Source organism: Homo sapiens, chromosome X (genome assembly GCF_000001405.40).
Source record: "Homo sapiens chromosome X, GRCh38.p14 Primary Assembly".
Classification (NCBI taxonomy): domain Eukaryota; kingdom Metazoa; phylum Chordata; class Mammalia; order Primates; family Hominidae; genus Homo; species Homo sapiens.
In genome coordinates, this window is record NC_000023.11 from 75,068,163 (window position 1) to 75,094,041 (window position 25,879).

General features: G+C 34.4%; 1 protein-coding gene across 5 annotated transcripts in view; it reads right to left on the bottom strand.

The window, feature by feature from the left end:
* Nucleotides 1-25,879, bottom strand: part of ABCB7 (ATP binding cassette subfamily B member 7) — a 105,236-nt gene that overhangs the window by 17,115 nt on the left and 62,242 nt on the right. For all 5 annotated transcript variants that reach the window (NM_001271698.3, NM_001271697.3, NM_001271696.3 and 2 more), the window contains 8 exons: nt 8,360-8,492; nt 7,200-7,468; nt 5,706-5,794; nt 5,527-5,614; nt 3,347-3,521; nt 2,203-2,360; nt 1,129-1,292; nt 845-974 (listed from right to left, as the gene is read on the bottom strand). In NM_001271698.3, coding sequence (NP_001258627.1) covers nt 845-974; nt 1,129-1,292; nt 2,203-2,360; nt 3,347-3,521; nt 5,527-5,614; nt 5,706-5,794; nt 7,200-7,468; nt 8,360-8,492 — 1,206 coding nt within the window. The remainder of the gene's footprint in view (nt 1-844; nt 975-1,128; nt 1,293-2,202; nt 2,361-3,346; nt 3,522-5,526; nt 5,615-5,705; nt 5,795-7,199; nt 7,469-8,359; nt 8,493-25,879) is intronic.

Here is a 25,879-nt window from a genome sequence, read left to right on the forward strand (position 1 = left end):
AGTCCATGTGTGCGATCATTTAGGGGACATTTTGCAAGCTACATATCCCCATCCAATCACTCTCTTACAGTTCTTCCTCTCCCCATATTTTGATCCATTCTCCCAGGGATTTGATTCTGGCTCCAGAAATCAACTTTATAATACATACTAGCTGCAACTAATTCCCAGGTCTCTCTATAAGCTTTCATCATAAAAAAGCTCACATCCTATAAGGCTATCTACTTCTTAACTTCTCAGACCTTACTTTGAATTTATTTTCCCTCCAAAGTAACACAGTAAGTGTTTATTAAATGTTTAACATGGGTTCGGCACTGTGTTTCGTACTGAGGGCAGAGTGGTTAACAAGGCATACAAAATTGAGGATGGCAGACAAGCTACTTTGTAATTATTATAAATCTACTATGTTGAAAACTGCTCCAAATTACAATAGTAGTTTCCGTTTTCTGAACAATTATGTGATAGACTCGGTATTTTATATTTATTATCTCTAATCCACAATAATTCTATCCTATAAGATAAATGGCATCCTTATTTTACAGATAAGAAAATGGAGGCCCCAGGCCACACAACTAATGACAATTAGAGATGGGGTTAGAATCCAGGTCTGTGTTCTTTGTATTCTATTATGCTATCATTCCAGGGCTTCCTATCATGCAGATTTTTCCTTCAAGTTTTTTCTTTTCCTTTTTTAAAAAATCCCTTTTGATACCAGAATTTCACTGGTAGGGTCTAATACTGACTACTTCAGTAGCATATGTTGATCCCTTGATTCAAACTGTTCTAGTTACGGATTGATCAACCCAATAAATCCTCCAAAAATTTGTTTTTTTCTGTTTTTAAATACCTGAGGTACCACTCCCACTGCCCTCCGAAGGCTTTCCAGGCTCACATCTTGTATATTTTGACCAGCAAGATAAATGCTACCCTTTTGAGGCTCATAGAAGCGAAATAATAGCCTCACTATTGTGCTTTTCCTGAAATTGGAGATGAAGAAAGGTTATTTAGCTCCTATTAATGTTAGGAAACCCCAGTTTTAAACCACAGTAATCATTTTGATAAAGAAAGAAATATTACATTGGGAATCATCAGCCTATAATACAGAATTTTACAAATAACTAAATTACCCACCCTGACCCACTACCTCCTACAATGGCCACTTTCTTTCCTGCAGGGACTTCAAAGGATATTCCACTAAGGACTTTCTGGCCCTCAATGTATTCAAAATGCACATTATCAAAGGCCACGGTAGCTGTCTGTGGTGTGATCTGAAGGGGAGATGCCATCACTTTGTCCTAGCAGGGAAGAGAAAAAAAAAGCCACTTTACGCACTGCCTAGAGTACAGCTACGAAGACAATTTTCTAATTCACAGAAAGAAAAAGGATATAATGGAAAAGAAGGAGGTTTATAAGTGGACTTAGACCACTTCCAAGCATGCATTTAAAGATTTGTTTTCTCACGCTTCATGGCTAAGGTAAAACAAACCCTGAATGTTTTGGTTTCTGAGCAACTTTTTTTTGAGGTGGGGTTGGGGAGGGAGAAGGGATAATGGGCAGGGGAGGAAAGGGGCTGAGGATGCAAGGAGAGGCAATCATATATTCCATGTCATTATTAGATAAGTAAATTCAGTGTAAGTACAAATAATTCAACTTAACAAAATTTACTTTCTAGTATAATAGTCTTCATTAACATTGTAAGATTTTATTTATTTATTTATTTATTTATTTATTTTGAGACGGAGTTCGCCCTTGTTGCTCAGGCTGGAGTGCAATGGCAGGATCTCGGCTCACCACAACCTCCACCTCCCAGGTTCAAGCGATTCTCCTGACTCAGCCTCCCGAGTAGCTGGGATTACAGGCATGTGCCATCACGCCCAGCTAATTTTGTATTTTTAGTAGAGACAGGGTTTCTTCATGTTGGTCAGGCTGGTCTCGAACTCTTGATCTCAGGTGATCCACCCGCCTCAGCCTCCCAAAATGCTGGGATTACAGGAGTGAGCCACCATGCGTGGCCAGGTTTTTAAACACAGAAGTGAAAGCTCTAACAACCTCTTAATACAGGTGATAGCACCCCCACCCCTGACAATTCCTGCAAGTAAAATAAATTGGTTTGCTAATGTGGTGATGTAGGAATATTCCTAGAATAATCCTACTAATAGGATGATGTTCACATACTTTTGAAAAGGTACTATATAGATTACTTACTTTAATTTGGGTGTCTACCTTGAGTAGAGTAAACAAGGTGTTCATATCTATGAGTGCTTGTCTAGTCTCTCTATATACAGTTCCCAGAAAGTTCAGGGGTAATGAAAGCTGAAAAAGCAGTCCATTCACCATTACTAGATCTCCAACAGTAAGGGTACCTTAAAAGGCAGAAGAAAAAAAGGGTATTTTAGATAAATGTTACATACTTTTCCAATTTACGATAGGTTTATAGTCTATTACGACGGAACAAAATATTCTTAATCAGCAACAACTCTTATGTCAACTCAATTTCAAAGCATTAATCCACGATTTAGGTAATACAGGGAACTTAGTATACGTTAGGAATGGGAAAGACCCACCTATACACTATATATAATATATAAAAAAGAATGGTTTAAGTGAGGATAGAAATTGAAGGCTAAAAATTTTCTGTTTTTTTCCCTAAGACACTAGCAATGGTTTCTTTGTAGTGTAAAACAGGAATTTAAAAATTAGTATACATTAAAAATTGGAGAAAATAGATATCACGATTAAGGATGATAAACCATTCTGATGTACATCAAGTTGAAGGAAACAAAATGAAACAACAACAACAACAACAAAATGTTGTTGTGACCTAAATATGTTTTCCACAGATTTTCCACATATTTAGGTCACAGTGAATGAATGAATACTAACTGAGTGGGGGTGGGGAGGGTTTCCAGAAAGGAGGGACAGACATTTACTTTTGAAGTGTTTTGCAACTAAAAAAAGGAGGAGAAAGATTAAAAGGTTCCTGGTAATTCTTAAAAAAAAGAGTGCAGTTTAGTGCTTTGAACTAAACACTAAATCAATTACATTGCTTTACAGGTCTGCAAGAGAAATTAGAAAAGCTAGATACTAAAAAAAAAAGTTGTTCTTAAAAGAACAGGTAGTTCCAAACAGTAATCCCAATCAGTGAGTGAGGCAGTGCTAAACAAAAGGAAGTTAAAAAACCATTATCAAACCATCAAGTAAATACATTCTGATACAGAGAAAAGTACTCCAAGGATGTGAAAGCACTTTAACATCCTTTATAATTAAGATAAGCATGCACATTCCTTTCATTAATCTTTATTTATAAAAGTTGAACAGCCTGTAAATGTGATAGCCACAGACTCATTACCTGCCACAATTCCCTGACTGGCGAGCACCATTATAGCTGTTAAACCGACACTGAAAATAGCACTTTGACCAAAGTTCAGCATAGCCAGAGTAGAGGTACTTTTCAATGAAGCAGTCTCATACGTCTTCAAAAATCCATCATATCTCTGTGCTTCATATCTTTCATTATTAAAATACTACAAAATATATAAAAATAACTATAGGCAAGTATAATTAGAATTTATTCTCTTAAGTGATTAGTATACTTTTCATCAGACTTCATGTATGAATACAATTTTGTACTGTAGATTCCATTTTAAAAATTGACTCAATATATTGGACTATGATATCCCTGCAGTTTTCCATAATGAATTGTATTTGAAAAGTCCACAAAATTCACCCAACGAATATTTACTGAATGCTTATCTAATTGCAACCCGACCTAAAACAAAATCTTCAATGACACTTCCTTCACAAAGCCTTCCCCTGAGACTCTGAATTGACAATTCCCACTACCCTCACAACATTATGCCTTCTTATTTAGTCACCTGCATACTTAAATTCTCTCGGTACAGTATAAAATTCTGGGATAGCAGGGATCAGAAAGTAATCTTTTTTTACCACCCTCCCCTGTGAAAGCACTTAGAACACATAAGAGGCATTCAGTAACTATTTGTTAAATGGAAATATGAACAAATAAATGAAAGAATTAATGAGAAGCACTATGCTAGGCACTCTGAGGGATAGAAGAGAGTCAAGAATTTATATGCCAGTTTGATTAGCTTACTGTTCATTCTGAATCAAGATGCTAACGGTACACAGTCATGCATCACTTAACAAAAGAGATATGTTCTGAGAAATGCATACTTTAGGTAATTTTGACTGTGCAATCATCATAGAGTGTACTTACACAAACCTAGATGGTATAGTCTACCACTCACCTAGACTATATGGTATAGCCTATTGCTCCTAGGCTATAAACCTGTATAGCACGTTACTATATTGAATATTGTAGAAAATTGTAACACAATGGTATTTGTGTATCTAAACACAGAAAAGGTACAGTAAAAATATAGTAAAGAAGATTTGCAGTGGTATATCTGTATAGAGCACTTATCAGCAATGGATCCTGCAGGACTGAAAATGGCTCTAGGTGAGTCAGTGAGTGAGTGGTGAGTGAATATGAAGGCCTCGGGCATTACCGTACACTACTGTAGACTTTATAAACACTGTATGCTCAGGCTACACTAAATTTATTTAATATTTTCTTTCTTCAATAACACATTAAAATTAGCTTACTGTAACTTTTTTACTTTACAAACTTAAATTTTTAAAAACTTTTTTACTCTGTAATAACTTGGCTTAAAACACACATTGTACAGCTGTATAAAAATATTTTCTTTCTTCATATCCTTATTCTATAGGCTATTTTCTATTTAATTTTTTTTTTTTTTACTTTTTAAACTTTTTTGTTAAAAACTAAGACACAATCACACACATTAGCCTAGACCTACATAGGATCAGGGTCAAATATCACTGTCTTCTACCTCCACATCTCGTTTTACTGGAAGGTCTTCAGGGGCAATAACATGCATGGAGCTGTTATCTCCCATGACAACAATGCCTTCTTCTGGAATACCTCCTGAAGGACTTACCTGAGTCTATTTTACAGTTAACTTTGTTTTTAGAAGTAGAAGGCGTACACTCTAAAATAATGATTAAACGTGTAAAAATACATATACTAGTTAACATACTAGTTTATCATTATCAAATATTAAATGATGGGTCGCGCAGCTGGTTTGTTTCCACCAGCATTACCAGAAACACATGAGTAATAGAGTAATGAATTGTGCTACAACATTACAATGGCTACAATGTCACTTGCTGACAGGAACTTTTCAGTTCCATTATTATCTTATGGGACCAACATCATAGATGCCAAAACATCATTATACAGTGCATGACTGTATTTATGATCACTTATAAATTAATTCAGAAGGTAAAAATCTGATAGTGCCAAACAAAAACTGAGAAGGAAAGAGGATAGTTTCTAAAGACAAACAATAAAATAGTATTATTCCATCACGCCTAGAGATCATATCCTAACCTGAAGCTCTAATTTACAGTACCTATTAAATTAAATGGTAGATCAAATCTTAGTGCAGTGTGAAAGGCAGAGGAAAGTATAATTAAACATATTACCTTCACAGTTTCATAATTCAGCAGTGAGTCTATAGCAGCATTACCTGCATCATTATCTGCTTTGTTCATTTCTATTCTAAATCTAGTTCTGTAAGACAAAGATTTGCATAGGCATGAAATACATGTTATAAAAGCAAAACAATTTCTAAATTTTATGTGGCTTCTAGGGAATAAATTACCTCCACCGTGTGACTGCAACTGTGAATGCTGTGTATGTACCAAGTGTTCCAAGGGTTACCAAAGCAAACTGGGCACCGCATTTGTAATACTAGAAAAGGAAGTCCAAAGAAGAAACGTGAAACAGTTATTGTTCTTCCCAAACAGTTTGTAATACACAACAGCAAATCTCGGTCAAAAGATTTTAACAAAAATATGGTGGCGTGAAGTTATGTACGTGAATGATGGGTGAAAAATCAAATACTTTAGAAAATCTACTTTAGGCAACAAGGGAAGAAAGTCAAACTGCACTTGCTACATCAGTAGTACCATCAAATACTAATAGGAAGATAGTACAAAAAGCCTAAAGAGGAATAAAAAATATATACATATATTTTTAACTATAAAAGGTGAAATTGCTAATCATTAGAGAAATGCAAATCAAAACCACAATGAGATATCATCTCAGATGAGTCAGAATGGCTATTATTAAAAAGTCAAAAAATAACAGATGTTGTCAAGGTTGCAGAGAAAAGGGAACACTTATACACTGCTGGTGGGAATGGAAATTAGTTCAGCCACTGTAAGCAGTTTGGAGATTTCTCAAAGAACTTAAAACAGAATTACCATTTGATCCAGCAATCCCATTACTGGGTGTATATATATTCAAAAGAACATAAATCATTCTGCCATAAAGACATACAAATGCGTATGTTCATTGCAGCACTATTCACAATAGCAAACACATGGATGCCAATCAATGGTGGACTAAATAAAGAAAATGTGGCCCATGTACATCATGGAATACTATGCAGCCATGAAAAACAAAATCATGTCCTTTGCAGCAACATGGATGCATCTGGAGACCATTATCTTAAGTGAATTAACTCAGGAACAGAAAACCAAAATACCACATGTTCTCACTTATAAGTGGGAGCTAAACAATGAGTACACACAGACACAATGAGGGGAATGGACACTGGGGCCTATTGAGGGTGGAGGGTGGCAGATGAGTGAAGGCAAAAAACTACCTATTAGGTACTATGCTCACTACCTGGTGATGAAATAATTTGTACACCACACCCCAGTGACACATAATTTACCCATGTAACAAACTTGCACAGGTACCCCCTGAAGCTAAAAGTTGAAACAGAGAAAAAAAAATAAAAGGTGAAATTGCCTAAAATGTTATGAATGGTGATGAGAAACCTAGATATTCTGAGCATATTAGTCCAATGTCATATACAAAAATCTCTGCTTTAAAAAAACCTTGTAAGTACTAGTTGATGACTAATCTATGTGTAGAATTGAACAGTTATTTACAATAACAACACGATAAAGAATTTGAGCAGTCCATTGAAGCTTGTGGCAAAATAATTAAACTGCATAATATTTCTGGCATCATGGAATTTTGCTTTCAAGCCCATGGGCATGCAACAGTACAACAGCTTCAAATATTCAATTGCTACTAATGAGAATTTAAGATAAAAGCTTGTTATGAAAAATGTTTAACTTACCAAAACACCACTGACAAGCATCACTTCAAACATGATGGGAAGAAGATTAAATACCAAAGCACTCAGGACAAAACTGATACCCCTTGTTCCTCTGTCAATAGCCTTAGATAAAGCTCCCGTCTGTCTGCTCAGGTGAAAACCCAGATCCAGGTTGTGAAGATGGAGAAAGACATTTTTGGCTATTCTTCGGATTGAATTCTGGGCTACCTTGCCAAATACTGCATTTCGAACTTCGTTAAAAAAAGCAGCTCCAGCTCTTGATACACCATCTAACAATACATTCAAAAGAAAAAATAGGATGTAACAATATTAGAATCAAAGGAGTATAGAAATGACAAGGGCTCAGAAAATGTTTGTACAATGAGTAATTCAGTGAATGAATATATCACAGAATATTTACAATAAAAGAAACCTAGAAATAATCTAGCCTAATGAGTATTAACTTTTCCACCACTATGAATCCCTTCAGTGTTATTTCCTCCAGGTTTCAGACATTAAAAGATATTTTTTCCAAATAAAATACTTAAATAATAGCCCACATGGCATTACTGTGGATAAATGTGCAGTGTCTGTTGAGGTTTTTTTTATCTAATTTAATCTTCCTAAATAACAAGTGATAAAATTGAGACCCTGAAGAATCAAGTGCCTTGACTAAAGGCATACCCCTACTAATGTCTCCCAAATCTCATAGTGTCCTTTCTAATGCATGGGACACACAGCATTCATATTCTGTTCTTTTCAAATTGTAGATTTGTGTCATTACTAATGAATATATTTTAATAAAGCATTTATGTACATATATATTTTTATTTAGCTATTTCCTATTTAATAGCTAACAATGCCAGCAAGAAAATAATTGACCTTTGTGGAAATGGATGTTACAAAAAGCCTAACTATTAGAAGTGGTTGTTATGAATTTAATGTCTTATTTTATATTATTGTTTTCTAGAACTTGTAAAAATGCTACTGTTATCATGGAATTTTTTGAAAGTGTATCATACAGAATAGTTTTTAAAAACACATACAAAACATCTCACATAAAACAACAAACATCCAAAACGCTAAGTTGTGTTTGTAGTGAAAAGGTCATCTGCTCAAATATGATGAAACCTCCTTGAAGAAAGTCAACACCTGTAGACAGATTAAAGAATCACACATACAGCCAATCAGAACTGCTGTTGCCATGGTTGCAACTGTATTTGGTGCATCACTCAGGTTCAGCATGTTTCCCGACATCTGGTTGAGGCTGTCTACAGCATATTTAAACATGAAGGGAACCACAATATTCATGGCCTAAAAACATAAAAACATCAATTACCCATTATACACAAAATACTTATTTATAAAAGTACAAATATTTACCTTAAATTAGTACTTATGGTAATGTTTACATATTTACCACTTACTGGTATTAGAGTGATTTTCCCCATTCATAAAGACAACATCTTTGACATTGGGAGAGCTGTCATTTCAGGCTTCATACTTCACACTGCCATGTTAATATTCATTTATAAGCTATGTGAATTAGTCAAATGCTTCTGCTTCCATGAAATCATCCCAGATCTGCCACTCAAAAATGCTGTCTCCATTATCTAAAATCCTACAAAGCTCATGACACTATGGCAAACTGTCTTACACTGTAGTTATTTGTGTATATATTTCCCTTTCCTACTGGATCCTTGAGGGTCTGTGTCATTTTACTTTTTGTCCCACCCATGCTGAATATAATGCTCTTATACAGTAGGCATTCAATAAATATTTTTAAAATAATTTGGTCATCAAAATAATGGTAAACTAAATTACACAGCAAGCCAGATCACAAAAGCAGATGAATTACAAGTATATGTTGGCTGATTCACCATTTGAAAAAACATTGATAAATCCATTTGTCCTACAGAAAGCTTCTTTGCCCCAATACCACATAAAACAAAGCCCAATTATTATCAAAACTAAGCTTTCAATAATGAACCTATTTCTCCATGAGAATACATCAAAATAAAACTTAAAAAGAAAATTAGAAGCATGATGTTTTCATATATTCAAGGCAAATGTTTCATCATTCACATTCTATATTTTCTGCAGTTATAGTATCCAAAACATCAACCATCATTTAGGAACAGAAAGTTTGTCAGACTCCCAAAGTTTCTTTGAAGAAATTAAATTGATGCACATTAATAACATGTGAAAACAATTTTATAAGCCTTAATAAAAACACTGAAATCCCAGATCTTGTTAATGCTCCATTATTATGCCATCTATCTTTGCAAAGTTTAGCTATAACTGATAGAAGCTATGTAACTCTTATCAAGATTCCAAGGTAACGTATACAAGAGTCTTACCAACCAAGCAGGCATTCTAGTATTCGACAATATCATTAAAATACACAGCACATGTTGGGATGCTTTTAAGAATGTAACATGAGATAAAGTGCTTAAACATTAAGCTTTCTGACTTCCAAAATCTAATAGAATATATGGCAGGTCTCAAATAGCATAAATTTCTCAAATCTGATTCCCCTGTAGCCATATAACCTTAGGTTCTTGCTTCTTCTTTGCTTTTTTTTTTTTTTTGAGATGGAGTCTCACTCTGTCACCCAGGCTGGAGTGCAGTGGGGAAATCTCGGCTCACTGCAAACTCCGCCTCCTGGGTTCAAGCGATTCTTCTGCCTCAGCCACCTGAGTAGCTGAGATTACAGGCATGCACCACCACACCCAGCTAATTTTTGTATTTTTAGTAGAGACAGGGTTTCACCATGTTGGTCAGGTTGGTCTCAAACTCCTGACCTTGTGATCCGCCCGCCTCGGCCTCCCAAAGTGCTGAGATTACAGGTCTTGCTTCTTCTTGAAATGGTCTCCTCTCCCCTATCTACCTCGTCACTCTTCAAAGCCCAATTTTAATCCCATTTCTACCATAATGCCTTCTCTGAAACATGCAGCCAATTTGGCACTCTCCATTTTCTATCTTTTTGTTATAGTTTATACCTCAATATTTATCACTTTTATGATATATTTCTGATTCATTTTGTATGTATATATGCATGGATATATTTCCATCCTTTTTGCATAAATTTGAGGGGTACAAGTGCAGTCCTGTTACATGGATATATCGCATACTGGTGAGGTCTGGGATTTTAGTGTATCTATCACCCAAATAATGTACAAACCTTTTGTGACAAAACTGACATTTACTGAACAACAGCTAGATGAATCAGGTATGGTGAAAGGTAGGTACCTTTCACAAATGTGAGGGATGAAAGGAATAAAAATTTTACAAAATAGATTTTATCTGTATAGTTGAGGAACCTCAGGTTCCACAAGGTTTAATGACTTGTCTGGTAAGCAGCAGAGCTGAGATTAAAATACAGGTCTGACACTTGAAGTTAGAATTTTTTCTAGTATACCATAGCCACATTAGCAGCTTATAAGGCAGGGACAATATATTTCACTTATTTTGCACCCTAAAATGGATGCTCTCAAATGCACTGTTTAAACCAGCTATAGCTGTAAAGTATATCAAAAGTAATTTAAATAAATTTGAGCAGATTCCAGGTTTTCCATTTAAGGATACAGTCCCTCACCTGCAATCCAATACACTTTCTTCAGTAGGAGAAAAAGTGATAGTTACAGCTAGCATGCAATTCTCATAACTCACAGCCCATTATACCTTTTCCAAAGCTGTAGTGAATGACGCCTAAAACTAATGTATCACCAATAAAGTTGTGCAATTTTACTTCCTTGAAAATGTTTTTGGATTTGGTCAAACTAGAGAACATCCTTGTAAGTGTTCAGGACGTGTGAGTGTCATCTGCATTGTGTTGTTAGTGGCAGAAAAAGGGCAGTTAGCACATGCAAAGAGTATGGCGCTACCTCTAATAATAACTGAATACTGTCAGTTTTCCCATAAAAATTATTTTAAAAAGGTAAGAAATATGCCATATATGTTAAAAACGAAAGAAATACACCAAAGAAATAAGAAGGATACTACATGTAGATGTTTTTATTAACATGTAGTGTTAAGTTTTATTTGCTTTGTGATATTTTGGGGATGGGACTAGCAAATAGTGGTTTTCCCCAATATCCTGCCTTTAGCAGAACTAGATTTAAACCATTCCAGGCAAATGAGAATCTTTAAAAAAAAATAACTTTTTTATTTTGAAATAATGAGACTCATAGCTGCAAAACAGTACGTAGTACAAAGAGACCCACGTACCCTTCACCCAGCATCTCCTAATGACATTTTATTTCACTGTAGTTCAGTATCAAAACCAGAAAGTTAACATCGGCACATTACCGTTAACTACTGGACTAGAGAACTCATTCAGTTTTCACCAACTTTTAGCTTGTATTCATGTGTATCTGTGTGTAGTACGTATGTGTCTGTCCGTGTGGTTCTATGCAATTTTACCGCACGTTCAGATCTGTAACCAGCACCACAATCAACATACAAAACTATTCCATCACCACAAGAGAAATCCATTATGCCACCACTTTGTATTCACCCCCGTTCTACCTGCCTCACCCCAGTCCCTTTACCCTGGCAACTACTAATTAATTTGCTCTTGATCTCTACAGTTTACTCATCTTGAGAATATTCTAGAAATGGAATCATATATAACCTTTTAGGATCAGCTTTTGTTTTATTCAGCATAACGTGCTCAAAGTTTATCAAGACTGTTGCATGTATCGATAGCTCATCATTTGCTATTGCTAAGGATTATTCCATTGATGTACTAGAATTTATTCAACCAGTCACCCCGAAGGACATTTTGGTTGTTTCCAGCTTTAGGCTACTATCAGTAAAGATGTTATCAACATTCTCATACAGATGGATATAAGTTTCCATTCATCTGGGAAAAGACCCAAGAGTCCAATTGCTAAGTCATATGGCATCTCTATGCTGACCTTACTAAGAAACTGCCACACTCTTTCTAGAGTTGCTGTATCATTCTATTTTATATCTTTGAGACAGAGTCTCACTCTGTTGCCCAGGAAGGAGTGCAGTGGCATGATCTCGGCTCAGTGCAACCTCCACCTCCCGGGTTCAAGCGATTCTCCTGCCTTCGCCTCTTGAGTAGCTGGGACTACAATTGCACGCCACCAGGCCCAGCTAATTTTTCTATTTTTGGTAGACACGGGGTTTCACCATGTTGGCCAGGCTGGTCTCAAACTCCTGGGCTCAAGTGATCTCCTGCCTCGGCCTCCCAAAGTGCTGGGATTACAGGTGTGAGCCACCACGCCTGGCCTGCTGTATCATTTTACAATAACCAGCAAAGTATGAGTGACCCAGTTCTTCTGCATCCTCACAAACATTTGGTATTATCATTTTTTTAAATTTCAAAACTGTTCCAATAGGTGCATATTGATACCTCACTGATGTTGAGCACTTTTTAATGTGCTTATTTGCAATCTATATCGTCTCTTTGGTGAAATATCTGTTCATGTCTTTTATGCATTTTATAATTGGATTGTTTGTTTTTCTGCTGTTGAGTTTTAAGAGTTCTTTATATATTCTAAGAATAAGGCCTTTGTTGGATATGTGGTTTGCAAATATTTTCGCCCAGTCTACTGCCTTTTATTCTACTCAGGAGTCTAACTTCTCACTCCATTCAGCAGTAATGAGGAATCTCTTCTGCCAGGAGCCAATAGAGGCCCAAGTAGGAACCTGGATTCTCATCTCCACCCACAGTAATGAGGCAGCACCCCTGCTCCACTGAAGTGGTGACACAGGAGGCCTGCTAAACAGAAGATTTACATAAGATTCAGAGTCTAATAATACTCTACATGTCCAGGTTTCAATTTAAAAAATCATATCAAGAACCAATAAGATAAGATATCAATTTGAATAAGACAATACAATTAATAGACACTAACATCAGGATGACACAAACATTACACCTATCTGAAAGATTTCGGAGTAGCCATCATAAAAGTGCTTCCAGGAATATTTATGAACATGCTTGAAATAAGTGAAAAAATAGAAGACTCAGGAAATAAATAAAGGATATAAAGAACCAAATGAAAAATACAGAACTGAAAAATATAATAACTGACATATAAAAACTCAAGGGATGGGCTCCATGGCAAAATGGAGAAGACAGAGGCAAGTATTATTGAACTTGAAGATAGAACAATAATTAGGAATACAATGCTTTCATATATTCAAGGCAAATGTTTAATCATTCACATTCTGCATTTTCTGCAATTATAGTATGAAAAACATCAACCATCTCTTAGGAACAGGAAGTTTGTCAGACTGCCAAAGTTTTTCTGAAGAAATTAAATTGATGCACATTAATAATATGTGAAAACAATTCTATCAGGCTTAATAAAAACACTGAAATCCCAGCGCTTGTTAATGTTCCATTACTATGCCATCCATCTTTGTTAAGTTTAGCTACAACTGATAGAAGCTATATAAATCTTACCAATCAAGATGTCAAGGTAAGGTATACAAGAGTCTTAGCAACCAAGCAGATGTTCTAGTAGTCAACAATATCATTAAAATACACAGCAGATGTTGGGATGCTACCTAAGCTTAACAACAGGGAGAAAATAGACTAAAGAAAAAAAAAAGCCAACAGAGTCTCAGGGACCTATGGAGCTGTAACAAAACACTTACCATCCTTTATTGAGTCCCAGAAGGATAGCAGAAGAGTGTGGGGCACAAAAAAGTACCAACGAAATAATGGCTGAAATTTTCCCAAATTCGGCAAAAGACATAAACCTATAATTTCAAGAAGCTGAGTAACCCAAATGTGGATAAACCCAAAGAAATTCACACCAAGACACATCATAATTAAACTTATGAAAGCTAGAGACAGAGAAAAAAAATCTTAAAACCAGCTAGATAAAAACACGTTATGTATAAGGGAAAAACAATCTTAAGACAGCAGATTTCCACAGAGGCCAGCAGTAAGTGGGACAACATTTTTCAAGTGGTGAAAGAAAAGAACTGTCAACCTAGTACCGTACACTGGGCAAAATTAGCCTTTGTGAATGAAGGTAACATCAAGACATTTTCAGATTAAGGAAAACTAAGAGAATTAGTTACCAGAAGGCCTGCTTTAAAAGAACTGCTAAAGAAAATTCTTCATACAAGAAGTGAAAGCAGAAGGAAACCTGGAATATCAGGAATGAAGGAAGAGCAATGGAAATGGTAAATATCTGTGTAAATATAATAACCTATTTTTAAGTTCTTTAAAAATATGTTTGATGGTTAAAAGCAAAATTTATATTTGTCTAGAAAGATTCCATAGAGCAATAAAAAAGATTACTGACTGATGCGGTTTACAGTACATCAAGATATATGAAACAATTGTAAATATAAAGGGGGAAGGTAAGGGAACTTACAGAGTAGTAAGTTTTTACATTTCATTTGAAGTAGTAAAATATTGATCCTAAGCAGACTGTGAAAAGTTACTTATGTATAATTTCCAGAGTAACCACTACAAAATTATATAAAGAGATAAACTAAAACACATAGTAGATAAATTAAAATGGGATAGTAAAATCTGTTCAAATAACATAAAAGGTGACAGTAAAGGTAAAACCAAGTAACAAAATAAATTTATCAGAAAACACATAATAAAATGGTAGACTGAAATCCAAGTATATAAATGATAGCAATATTATCAATATATTACAATGATCAACAAAAATCAATAATTATTAATATATCAACATATTAGCGATGAACAGTTAGAAACCAAAATTTAAAAAAGAAAATTATTGACATTGCCCTCATCAAGTAAAAAAAATTCTTAAGTATAAATCTAACTCAGGGTCTCAACCTCCAGCACTACTGACAGTTTGGGTTCCATAATTATTTCTTGCGGGAAGAGCTATTCTGTGCATTGTATGATGTTTAGCAGTGTCCTTAACCTCTACCCAATACACACCAGTAGCATACCCCACCCCCTCTAGTTGTGACCTATAAAAATGTCTCCAGACATTGCCTAATGTCCTCATGGAGTCAAAATCACCCCTGGTTGGGAACCACTGGTATAATCAAACATGTATCATGTCTGTATGCTGAAAGCTATCAATGCTGATGAAATAAATCAAAGAAAAGCTAAATAAATGGAGAAACATACTACATTCATCCAATGGAAGACACGACCTAGTAAGGATGTCAATTCTACCCAAATTGGTCTACATTTTTAATAAAATTTTATTTAAAACATCATCAGGCTTCTTTGATAGAAGAGCTTTAATAGCTATAGAAAAGTTTATTCTAAAATTTATATGCAGAGGCAAAAAAAACTGGAATAGCTAAAAACAATTTTGAAAAGAAGGGAAGAAAGTTGGAAGAATCATCCTACTTGGCTTTAAAACTTACTATAAAACTACAAATATATATATATATATAAAATATAAAAATAGTGTGGTACTGGTGAATGCAGAAACACAAAGATCAATGAAACAGAATAGATTCCAGAAAAACATCCCATACATAATCATTATGGTAGAAAGAATAATGGCTCCCCAAAGATATTCATGTACCAATTTCCAGAACCTATAAAGATGATATTTTACATAGCAAAATGAACTTTGCAGATGTGGTTAAGCTGAAGAACATGATTATGTTCTTTATCCTTGATTTTGTGGGTGGGCCAAATCTAATTACAGGAGTACTTATAAGAGGAAAGTAGGAGAGTCAAAGTTGAGACGAAGGAAAGCAGAAGGGTCAGAGTCAGAGATAGATTGAACATGCTGTTGATGCTGAAGATGGAATAAGAGGCCCTGAGCCAAGGAATGTAGGTGAACTCTAGAAGCAGGAAAAGGCAAGGAAATAGATTTTCCTCAAGAGTTTCTGGAGGGAGCACAGCCATGCCAAATATCTTTATTTCGATCCAGTGAAACCTAATTTTGGATTTCTGACCTCCAGAAATGTAAGATAATAAATTTGTGGTGTTTTCAGCTACTATTTTTGTGATAATCTGTTACAGCAGCAATAGGAAACAAAGCAAATTGAATGGGGAAAGGATAGCCTTGGTGTTGGAACAACTGGAAAAAAATTCAATTTGGTGTTGGAACAATTGGAAAAAAATTTAATTTCTACCTAAACCTCATATAAGAATTCAAACTGTAGCACTTTAGTTCAGTACATATTTTTTAAAAAACGTGGCACAATCTAAATGTAAAAGAGAAAAATATATAAAACTTTTAGAAGAAAACAAAAGAGAAAATCTTAATGACCTTGAGTTAGGCAAATAGTTATTAGACATGACAACAAAAGCATAATCCATAAAGGAAAAAAATAATAAACTGAAATTTATCAAAATTAAAAACATTTGTTCTACATAAAATACTATTAAGGGGATTAAAAAACAAGCTACAGACTGGGAGAAAATATCTGCAAATCATATATCTGGTAAAGGTTTCATATCAGAATATATAAAGAATTCACTAAAGTTGAGAGGAAAAACATACAGCCCAATTAAAAAATGGACAAAATGCTTAAACAGACACTTCACAAAAGGAAGATATACAAATGTAAACTAAATACACACAATGCTGCTCAATATCCCAGGCCTTAAGAGAAATGTAAATTAAAACCACAAGATACCACCATTCACCTGACAATACCAAGTGTTGACAAAGAAGCAAAGCAACAGGAACTCTTTCATATACTGCTGTGGGAATACAAAAAGAACTACTCTGGACAACAGCTTGGCAGTTTCTTATTGAGTTAAAAATGTGTTTAGCATGACCTAGCATTCCACTCTTAAGTGTTTATTCTAGAGATATGGAAACTCAGGTTCACACAAAAACCTGTGTCTGAATGTTTAAAGCAGCTCTAGTTATAATCTATAATCACTAAAAAGTGGAAAGAACCCAATGTTGTTGAATGGGTGAATGGACAAACTCTGTTATATCCATACCATGGAATACTATTCGGCAATGAAAAGAAACAAACTGGTATATCCAATAACATGGATGAATGACCAAGACATCATGCTTAATGTGAGAAATCAGCTCAAAAGGTTATATACTACATGATTCCATTTATATGGCATTCTCAAAATGAGAAAACTATAGTGATAGAGGACAAATCAATGTTACCCAGCAGCTAGGGGTCTGGAAAGGGTATGACTATAAAGAGGTAACAAAAGGGAGATTTTTGGGGTGATAGCACTTGTCTGTATCCTGACTGTGGTGGTAATTACATGAATACACACGTGTTAAAAATTATGGAACTGTATACTAAAAAGAGTGCACTCCATTGAATGTACATTAAAATTAAAATAAATAAAGCCAGCATCACACCACAGACCCGGCTCCCTGGGGGCAGGAAATGTCTAAAAATAAGGCTGAATCACAGTGTATTTCAATAAAAATCAACCCAATATGAAGTTTCATACCCCTGTTACTTTTTAAAAATTAAGAAACTGGTTATATTTACAAGATTGTAATCTTGTGACAAAAGGTATATTTAATCTGACTGCAATGTGCACACTAAGTACACGAGAAATAAAGGAACTTTAAATATTTTTTTTTTTTTGAGATGGAGTCTCACTCTGTCGCCTAGGCTGGAGTGCAGTGGCATGATCTCGGCTCACTGCAACTATCGCCTCCTGTGTTCAAGTGATTCTCATGCCTCAGCCTCCCGAGTAGCTAGGACTACAGGCACGAACCACCACGCCCAGCTAATTTTTGTATTTTTAGTAGAGATAGGGTTTCACCATGTTGGCCAGGAAGGTCTCAAACTCCTGGCCTCAAGTGATCTGCCTGCCTCGGCCTCCCAAAGTGCTGGGATTACAGGTATGAGCCACCATGCCCAGCCTCAGGAACTTATAAAACATTTTTTCTTTCTTAGATCAAAAATTTAAATCATATAAATAATCTGCTAGGCTCCTGAATTATCAAAGACTGGTATATCATTACAAAATGGTATTCATTTAATTTTTAGCACAAAACTGTAAAATTTGGGACACTAACTGAAGAAGAGAGTTAAGTAAAAAGTAAAATTGCCATAAAGGACTACCAAAAGTATGCTATATCTACATGGTGCCAAAATTACTGGTCAATATAGTCAGTTTGCTGAGGACCTCAAGTTCTAGATTTAATTATCGCTTTTCCCATTATGATCATGACTAGTCATCTGAGGAACCCAATTCTTTCAGACTTTTTAATATCTAAACTCCTTAATAAATTCACCTCTTTCAGAGTGGCCTCTGTTAACTAAGGGCTTTATGAGCAGTGCTGCCAAGAAGTGCCCAATATATCTAAACAAGTAAAAAAGAATTTTGTTCCTTTAATTGCTTCTCTATTCACAAAAGAATCAGGAGAAAAAAGAATAAAGACCAGGAACACTAAAGAGAGATCTGATTAGCAAGGCAAAGCAAAGATAAAAGAAAACCAGACAAGGTAAGGTAGGAGATTGGCATGAATTATTTTCCAAGCACTGGTCACGAGGCCCCACTAAACAAACAGGATCTGAGAAAAACAGAATGCAGCAAAGAAACCAGCCAAAACCAGCTAGATCCAAGATGGTGACGAAAACAACCTCTAGTTGCCCTCATTGCTCATTATACACTAATTATAATGCATTACCATTCTAAAAGCAACTCCCACCAGAACCATTTACAAATGCCATGGCAACTCCTGGAAGTTGCTTTATATGGCTTAAAAGGAGAAGGAACCCTTAGTTCCAGGAACTCCTCATCCCTTTTCCAGGAAATTCATGAATAACCCACCCCTTATTTCACAACTAATCAAGGAATAGCCATATAGCTAGCCAGAAATCCACTGCTGCTGAAAGGGCTGCTGCTACTACTCTGTCTATGGAGCAACCATTTTCCTGTACTCTGTTGCTCTAATAAACTTGCTTTCACTTTGCTGTCAGCTCACTCTTAAATTCTTTCCTGCACGAAGCCAAGAACCCTCCCAGGCTGAGCCCCAATTTTGGGGTTTGCCTGCATTAAGGGTACTCAGACAATTTGAAAAGATTATCAGGGTAGTGGTAGAATCCTCACAGAACTGAAGTTTCTATTCTCATTAAAGGAAAAATATCAAACAACAACAAAGCAGTTATGTAAGTTGATCAAATAAAATTATTTTATATTGTATACATTATTAATTCATGAAAATTAGGTCTAGGCAACAAAGCAAATGTCATTAAAGATTTCCATTGTATAAACAAAATACTTCTGGCTTGTATATAAAGTTTGCTCTGGGCATCAAAGAGTAACCTCAACAGAAAACAGCCTATTTAATACAATCCTTGCAACATAGCTGAATATGGATCCTGAGAAAGTAAAGCAAGAGTTATGACTAATCTATATGAATAACAGACACGCAGAAGACTCCATATGCAAGACTTTTACATAATGTAATATTTGTAAGAAATGTCATTTTTACCTAGTCTGATAGTTTGAAAGTATAAACATGGAAAGGTATGACATAGAAAGGGACTATATGTCATTGTCATTTTCAATAACAGACATCTAAAAGCTAGAGATCATAATATCCACAAAACAAACTTGTTTTACCTTATTTCATGGCTGAAGCACACAGAACTGAAAGCAAATTAAAGAATATGAAAGAGCAATTGACTTGCAGTCTCAACTCCACTAATCTAATCAAAGAGATAAGTCCTCTTATCTAAATCCTCTAGGAGATAAAACATTTAGAGGGGAAAAGTAGATCACACTGATATTTAATGAACAACCTCAATGTAACTAGTAGAAGTAACATGATATGTGAACCTGATTCATTAAAATTTTTTGTTCATATGGCCTTATCCCCTAAAATTTGTCTAGCCCCCGTTTAGCAGGTTCTAGAGGAAATTCTAGCCTCTGACACCTACAGCTACAGCTAACACTAAAGACAGCCAACTCCTAGCCAGATAAACATAAAATCTCACATTAAAGGCATATTTATCATCTAATGCATTGTGTCTAGCTTTCAAAAAAAATTACAAGGCATGCCAAAAGGCAAAGAAGAGTCTGAATAGACAAAGTAAACATCGGAACCAGACTCAGATAAGGCAGAGATTTTAGAATTATCAGACCAGGAATTTAAAATGCCAAAGGCTCTAATGGAAAAAGCAGACAGCATGCAAGAAAAGATGGGTAATATAAACAGAGAGGAATCTCTAAGAAAGAATCAAAAGGTTGTACAAGAAATCAAAAACACTCTAACAGAAATGAAGAACGTCTTTGATAGGCTCATCAGTAGACAGGACACAAAATAGAAAAGAATCAGTGAGCTTGAAGACGTATGTCAGTGAAAACTTCACAAAGTGAAATGAAAGAACAAAATGAATTTAAAAGGGAAAAGAATATGCAAGAAATATGGGAGAATTACAAAAGGTGTAACATATGTATACATAATGGGAATACCATAAGGAAAAGGGAAAAGGAACAGGAAAAATAATTGAAATAATGAAGGCTAAGAATTTTCTAAAATTAATGACAACACCAAACCACAGATCCAGGAAAGCTTAGAGGACACCACGTAGAAAAAACAAAACAAAAGAAACAAAAAAAAAAACACAACAACAACAACAACAAAAAAAAAACTCCCAAAAGGTACAGCCTGGCATATCATATTCAAACTACAAAAATCAAAGACAAAAATAATCTTAAAAGAAGCCAGGGGAATCACCTATAAAGGAACAAGAATAAAAATAACAGTGAAGGCAAGCAAGAACAGAGTGGAATGAAATATTTAAACTGTTGAAAAAAACCAATCCACCAACCTAGAATTCTGCACCTAGTGAAACTGTCCTTTACAAGTGAGGGAAAAACATACACTCTCTACAAAAGCAAAAATTGAGGAAATTTGTTGCTAGTACATGGATCTTGCAAGAATTGTTTTTAAATAAAGTTTTCCAGAGAGAATGCAAATGATATTGGTCAAAACCTCAGATTTACATTTAATTGGGAAGCAATGTTAGAGAAGGAATAAATTAATGTAAAATAAAATAATTTATCTTTATTCTTAATTCATCTAACAGATAAGTTTCTTCAAAATAATAACAGCAACAATGTATTGGTAATTAAAGCTTATAAATAGGTGAAATGAATCACAGCAGTGTGTAAGTGATAGGGGGAATGAATTGGGAGTACTGTTATGTGTACCACCCCCATGAAGCAGTAATAGTGTCATATTAAAGTGGAATTAGACTGCCTATAAATGTATAATGCAAACTCTATGGCAACCACTTAAAAATTAAAAAGTATAATCGGAATGTTAAATGATTAGAAAAAACAAAATCATATAAAATGTTTAATTAAAGCCAGAGAAGGAAGAAAAAGATTGAAGAAAAAGTAAAATAAAAGCAAAAACCAAAGAAGAAAGGAAATGAACAGAAAACAGTTACACATATGGTCAATATTAATCCAACAATATCAGTTAATCATTTTAAATGTGAATAGTCTACACCAATTAAAACACAGATTGTCATCATGGCTGAATCTGATGGCATTAAAAAAAACAGATTGTCAGAATGGATTTTTAAAAGATGATCCAATTACAGACCCAATTTTAAATATCAAGACATAATGAATTATATGTAAACGGATGAAGAAATATACACCACCTTAACCCTTATCAAAGCTAAGCTGGAGTAGAAACCATATTAATTTCAGATAAAGCACACTTCAGATCAAGGAAAATTAACAGGAACCAGGAATAAAAGAGGGGCATTACATAATGATAAAGAGGTTAATTCTCCAAAAAGATATAACAATCCTTAATTGTGTATGCACCTAACAGCAAAATATCAAAATGCATGAGGCAAAAACTGATAGAATGGCAAGGAAAAATAGATGCATCCTCTATTATATCTAAATGACACCTATAGGATACTTCATCCAACAAGAGCAGAATACACATTCTTTTCAAATTTGCACAGATCATTCACCGAGATAAATGACACCCTGGGCCATAAAACACACCTTTACAAATTTTTAAAAATACACATAGCACGAAGTATGCCCTAGGCAAAATGGAATTAAATTAGAAATCACTAACAGAATGACGGTAGGCATATCCCAATGATTAAACAACATGCTTTTAAATAACACATGGGTCAAAGACTAAAGAGAAATTTTAAAATATTTTGAACTAAATAAAGATGAAGATACAATGTATCAGAATTTGTGGGATGCAGCAAAAGCAGCACTTAAAAAGAAATTTATAGCACTGAATGCAAATATTAGAAAAGAAAGATCTAAGATGAATAATGTAAGTTTCCATCTTGGGAAAATAGAAAAAAAAAAGCGCAAAAAAAGTGCAAATTAAATCCAAAGTAAGCAGAAGAATAAAAATTGGGGCAGAAATCAATGAAATTGAAAAAAGGAAATCAACAAAACCAAAAGCTGCCTCTTGGAAAAGAGCAATAAAATTGCTAAGTCTCTAGTCAGGCTAATCAAGCAAAAAAGAAAGAAGACAAACTACTAACATCAGAAATGAAAGGCAGGCCTTCAGTACTGTTTCTATGAAAATTAAAAGATAATTGAGGGATAGTATGAGCAACTCTAGTCCAACAAATTTGATAACTTAGATGAAATGGACAAATTCCTTAAAAGATCCCTTCCTATAGAAGATACATTGATAAATTGAATTGGTCTGTATCTATTAAATAAATTGATTCAATAATTAATAACCTTCCAAAACAGAAAGCACTGGTCCAAATGGTTTCACTGGTGAATTTTACTAACTACTTAAAGAAGAAATGATGTGAATTCTCTATAATTTCTTCCAGAAAACAGAAGTAGAGGGAATACTTCCTCATTCCATGAAAACAGCACCATTCTAATATCAAAACCAAAGACATTACAAGAAAACTACAGACCACCCTCTTTCCTGAATATAGATACAAAAATCCTCAACAAAATATTACCAAATCATACCCAACAATGTATAAAAACAATTACACGACATAACCAAGTGGAATTTATTCTGGGTATGGAAAGCTGGTTCAACATTTGAAAATCAGTTAATGTAATCCATCACATCAACAAGCTAAAGAAGAAAAATCAAATGATGGCAGATGAAAAAAAATCATTTAACAAAATCCAACACCTATTCATTACAAAAACTCCCAGCAAACTAGGAATAGAGGAAAACTTCAACTTGATTACAAACACCTATAAAAAACCTTAAAGTTAACAACATACTTAATGGTGGGAAACTAAACTGTGAACAAGGCAAGGATGTCCTCTTTTATCACATTATATTCAACACTGTACTAGAAGTCATAGCTAATGCAATAAGAAAAGGAAATAAAGGTATTCATTCTACAAAGGACAAAATAAAACTGTCTTTGTTTGCAGGTGATATAATTGTCTATACAGAAAATCTGAAAAAAAAAAATCAACAAAAAACCCTACTAGAACTAAAAAGCAATTACAGCAAGGTTGCAGCATACAAGGTCATATACAAAAGTCAACTACTTTCCCACATACCACCAATGAACATATGCAATTTGAAATAAAAAATACAACACCATTTAAATTAACAACAAAAAATGAAATACTTCAGTACAAATATAACAAATGTGTGCAAAAAGCATATGAGGAAAACTACAAAACTCATATGAAAGAAATCAAAGAAGCTAAATAAATGGAGAGATACTCCATGTTCATGTATGGGAAGACTCAATATTGTTGAGATGTCAGTTTTCTCCAGCTTGATCTATAGATTCAATGTGACCCCAATCAAAATCCCAGTAAGTAATTTTGTGGATATGGACAAACTGATCCTAAAGTTTATAAAGAAAGGCAAAAAACTCAAAACAGCCAACAGAATACTGAAGAAGAAAACAATACTGGAGGTCTGACACTACCTGACTATAAGACTTACTCTATGAAGCTACAGTAATCCTGACAGTATGGTACTGGTCAAAAAATAGACAAATAGATCAATGGAAATAGAAGAGACAGCACAAAAATGGACTCACAAAAATATAGTCAACTGATCTTTCACAAAGGAGCAAAGGCAACCCAATGGGAAAGAGACAGCCTTTTCAATAAATGATGCTGGAGCAACTGGACATGCCAATGGAAAAAAAAAGGAATCCAAACACAGACCTTACATATTTCATAAAAATTAACTCTAAATAGATCATAGACCAAAATGTAGAAGATGAAACTATAAATCATCTAGAAGATAACGTAAGATAAAATCCAGGTAACCTTGGGTTTGGCAATGACTTAGCACCAAAAACATGATCCATGAAAGACTGGTAAGTAGGACTTCATTAATATTAAGAACTTCTGCTTTACAAAAGACACTGTCAAGAGAATAAGATGACAAGCCACAGACTGAGACAAAGTATTTGCAAAAGACTTAACTGATAAAGTATTTGTATCCAAAATTACAAAAGAACTCTTAAATCTCAACAATAAGAAAACAATCAAATTTAAAAATGGGCAAAAGAACTGATCAGACACTTCACCAAAGAAGATATACAAATGACAAAAAAAGCATATGAAAAGATGCTCAACATCATATGTCATTAGGCATTTGTAAATTAGAACAAAAGTGAGATGCTACCACACACCTATTAGAATGGCTAAAATCTAAAATATCAATAACACCAAATGCTAGTGAGGATGTGGAGCAATAGGAACTCTTATTCATTGCTTGTAGGAATGTAGAATGGTATACCAACTATAAAAGGTTATTTGGCAGTTTCATACAAAACAAAACATAGTCTTACAAGACAATCCAGCAATTGTGTTCTTTGGTATTTACCCAAATGAGATGAAAACTTATGGCCACACAAAAACCTGCACACAAATGTTTACTGCAGCTTTATTAATGACGGCCAAAATCTAAAGGAAACCAAGATGTCTTTCAACAGGTGAGTGGATAAACACACTATAGTACATCCATATAACAAAATATTATTCAGTGATACAAAGAAAAGAGCTATCAGGTAACACACACCCACACAATGAATATCTTGAAATACATATTGTGAAGTGAAGGAAGCCAGTCTGAAAAAGCTACATACCATATGGTTCCAACTATATGACATTCTGGAAAAGGCAAAACTAGAGAGTTAGTAAAAAGATCACTGTTGTTAGGAATTCTGGAGGAAGGAAGGACAGATGAGTAGATGGATCACATGGGATTTTGGGGGCAGGGAAACTATTCTATATGATATCATAATGGTGAATACACGACATTATACATTTCCCAAAAACCATATAACTGTACAATACAAAAAGTGAATCCTAATGTAAACTATGGACTTGGTTAATAATAATGTATCTTTTCAAAATAATTGGTTCATCAGTTTTAGCAAATGTACCACATTAATGCAAGATGTTAATAACAGAAGAAACTGCATTCTGGAGAAAAAAAGGGGGTATATATAAGAACTCTTTGTACTTATTGTTCAATTTTTCTGTAAACTTAAAACTTCTCTAAGATATAGTATTTTAATAATAATAATAATAATACCAGGGTAAAATTCATACTTCTCAAAAAGGCATCAGGTAGCACTGTCTCATTTTAAAAAATATTTTTCAGAAAAGTTTCAAAAAAATGAAGAAGTACATAAATGTTTTAAAGTTACAAATGTCAAAATAGTTATTCAAAAATACTAAATCCTTCATAAAGCCTTCCCTATATGCTTAATTGTTGGTACTCTCCTACAGCTTCATTTGTCTCTCCTTTTGGATGTTTCTGTTATATACATATATATATATATATATATAT